Source organism: Homo sapiens, chromosome 6 (assembly GCF_000001405.40).
Source record: "Homo sapiens chromosome 6, GRCh38.p14 Primary Assembly".
Classification (NCBI taxonomy): domain Eukaryota; kingdom Metazoa; phylum Chordata; class Mammalia; order Primates; family Hominidae; genus Homo; species Homo sapiens.
In genome coordinates, this window is record NC_000006.12 from 3,510,573 (window position 1) to 3,512,202 (window position 1,630).

Consider the following 1,630-nt stretch of genomic DNA (forward strand, 5'->3'; position numbering starts at 1 on the left):
TTCATGCTGGCAGTGATAGGAACGACACTGGCTGCTGCTGCCAGGGCCCCACCACCATTCATAGAGTGCTCACGGTGGCCAGGCAGGTGCTGTGCTATTTGCCCGCATGACTTTGTTTTCTCAGAACAAGCTCATAGGGAGGTTCTATTCCTAACTCCACTGACAGATGTGGAAAGTGAACTAATCCTCCCCTCTTGAATGGTGGCGATGGGACAGGAAGCTGGCCGGCTGCTTCTAGAGCGCACCTCCTTGTGTGCTGTGGAATCTCTGCAATGCCCAGGGTTGCACAGTGCACCTCAGGGCTGGGGCCACGATGTGATCTCCAGCAGAATGTCAGGCTTCTAGCCACAACAAAATCGTGAGAAACACCAGTAATCCTCAGAACGGAGTCCTCTTTGCCTTACAAAGCACAGACTGATGCTCCAGAGAGCCAGTAACCTGGGTGGTGAGGAAGCCAGCCTCCAGGAGTCTGGGAGAAGGGTTGATACACAAATTATGTATGCTCCAGGAAAGGATTCACAAACAAATCCCATGGATTCAGAAGACGGAGGGTCAGTGACAAAAGGAAACAGATGCTATTTTTCAGACAAACACGGAACCACTGAGAGGTGGGAGCAGGAAGGAGCAGCGGGATGGCAAGGGTGCTGAGGGGTGATATGGTACTGAACAGGGAGAGGAAGGTGCCTCCCACCTGGGCCAGCTTTCTGGAGCCCATCTATAAATGAAGCCCTGTGTTTCCTAACTGCTCTGCTGCTGTGCTGTGTGTGTGTGTGTGTGTGTGTGTGTGTGAGAGAGAGAGAGAGAGAGAGAGAGAGAGAGAAAGAGAGAGGGAGAGGGAGAGGGATTGAGATTGAGGCTCATCTTGATTACCTAATGACGCCAGGGTCATAATTGGATTCTACTAGGTTATTAAACCCCAATCCTAGGCAGAGCCAGATTAAGGAGTGGCCAGTGGACAGCAATTGCCCAAAGTGCCACTCAACATAGGTCACTGCAATGAGCACTGTTGTGCTCCACCCAGCTCCCCTTGGCTCCCTCTCCTGGTTGCTGTGTGCCCAAGCCCCGGGGCTGTGGCTTGAATGTGTGACCCTTCCAAACCTCTTGTTGAAATTTGATCCCAATGTTGGAGGTGGGACATAATGGGAAGTGTTTGGGTCTTGGGGGTGGAGCCCTCAGGAGTAGATAATGCCCTCCCTTGGAGCAGAGCAAGTAAGTTCTTGCTCTGTTAGTTCCTGAGAGAGCTGGTTGTTAAAGGAGCCTGGTACCTCCTCCCCTCTCTTGCTTCCTCCCTGCACACGCTGGTTCCCCTTCACCTTCTGCCATGAGTGGAAGCCACCTGAGCCCTCCCCAGAAGGTGCTGGTGCTTCTTGTACAGCCTGCAGAACTGTGAGCCAAGTAAACCTTTTTATAAATTACCCAGCCTCTGGTATTCCTTTATAGCAACGCAACAATGAATGAAGACACCTAGCATCCTTGTGCTTTGCTTCTGATGGCCAGCACCTGTGTCCCAGCTGCCCTTGGGTGAGTGCAGCCACTTTGCCTCCATTCCTAGAGTTCTGAAAGTATCCAGGAATGACAGCTCCTTGAGGATGGCCCTTGGCAATGACTAATTGATGAAGGAATATGGAAG

At 51.8% G+C, this 1,630-nt stretch overlaps 2 annotated features.

Annotated features, from left to right (window-relative positions):
* Positions 522-1,374: an enhancer, noted in NCBI's record as "NANOG-H3K4me1 hESC enhancer chr6:3511328-3512180 (GRCh37/hg19 assembly coordinates)". NCBI's record gives its function as "activates a minimal SCP1, AML or CMV promoter by ChIP-STARR-seq in naive H9 embryonic stem cells {active_cell/tissue: H9 hESC(naive)}" and the evidence as "EXISTENCE:reporter gene assay evidence [ECO:0000049][PMID:30033119]".
* Positions 883-1,177: a silencer, noted in NCBI's record as "tiled region #10864; K562 Repressive non-DNase unmatched - State 4:PromP". NCBI's record gives its function as "represses a minimal TATA promoter and a strong SV40 promoter by Sharpr-MPRA in K562 cells {active_cell/tissue: K562}" and the evidence as "EXISTENCE:reporter gene assay evidence [ECO:0000049][PMID:27701403]".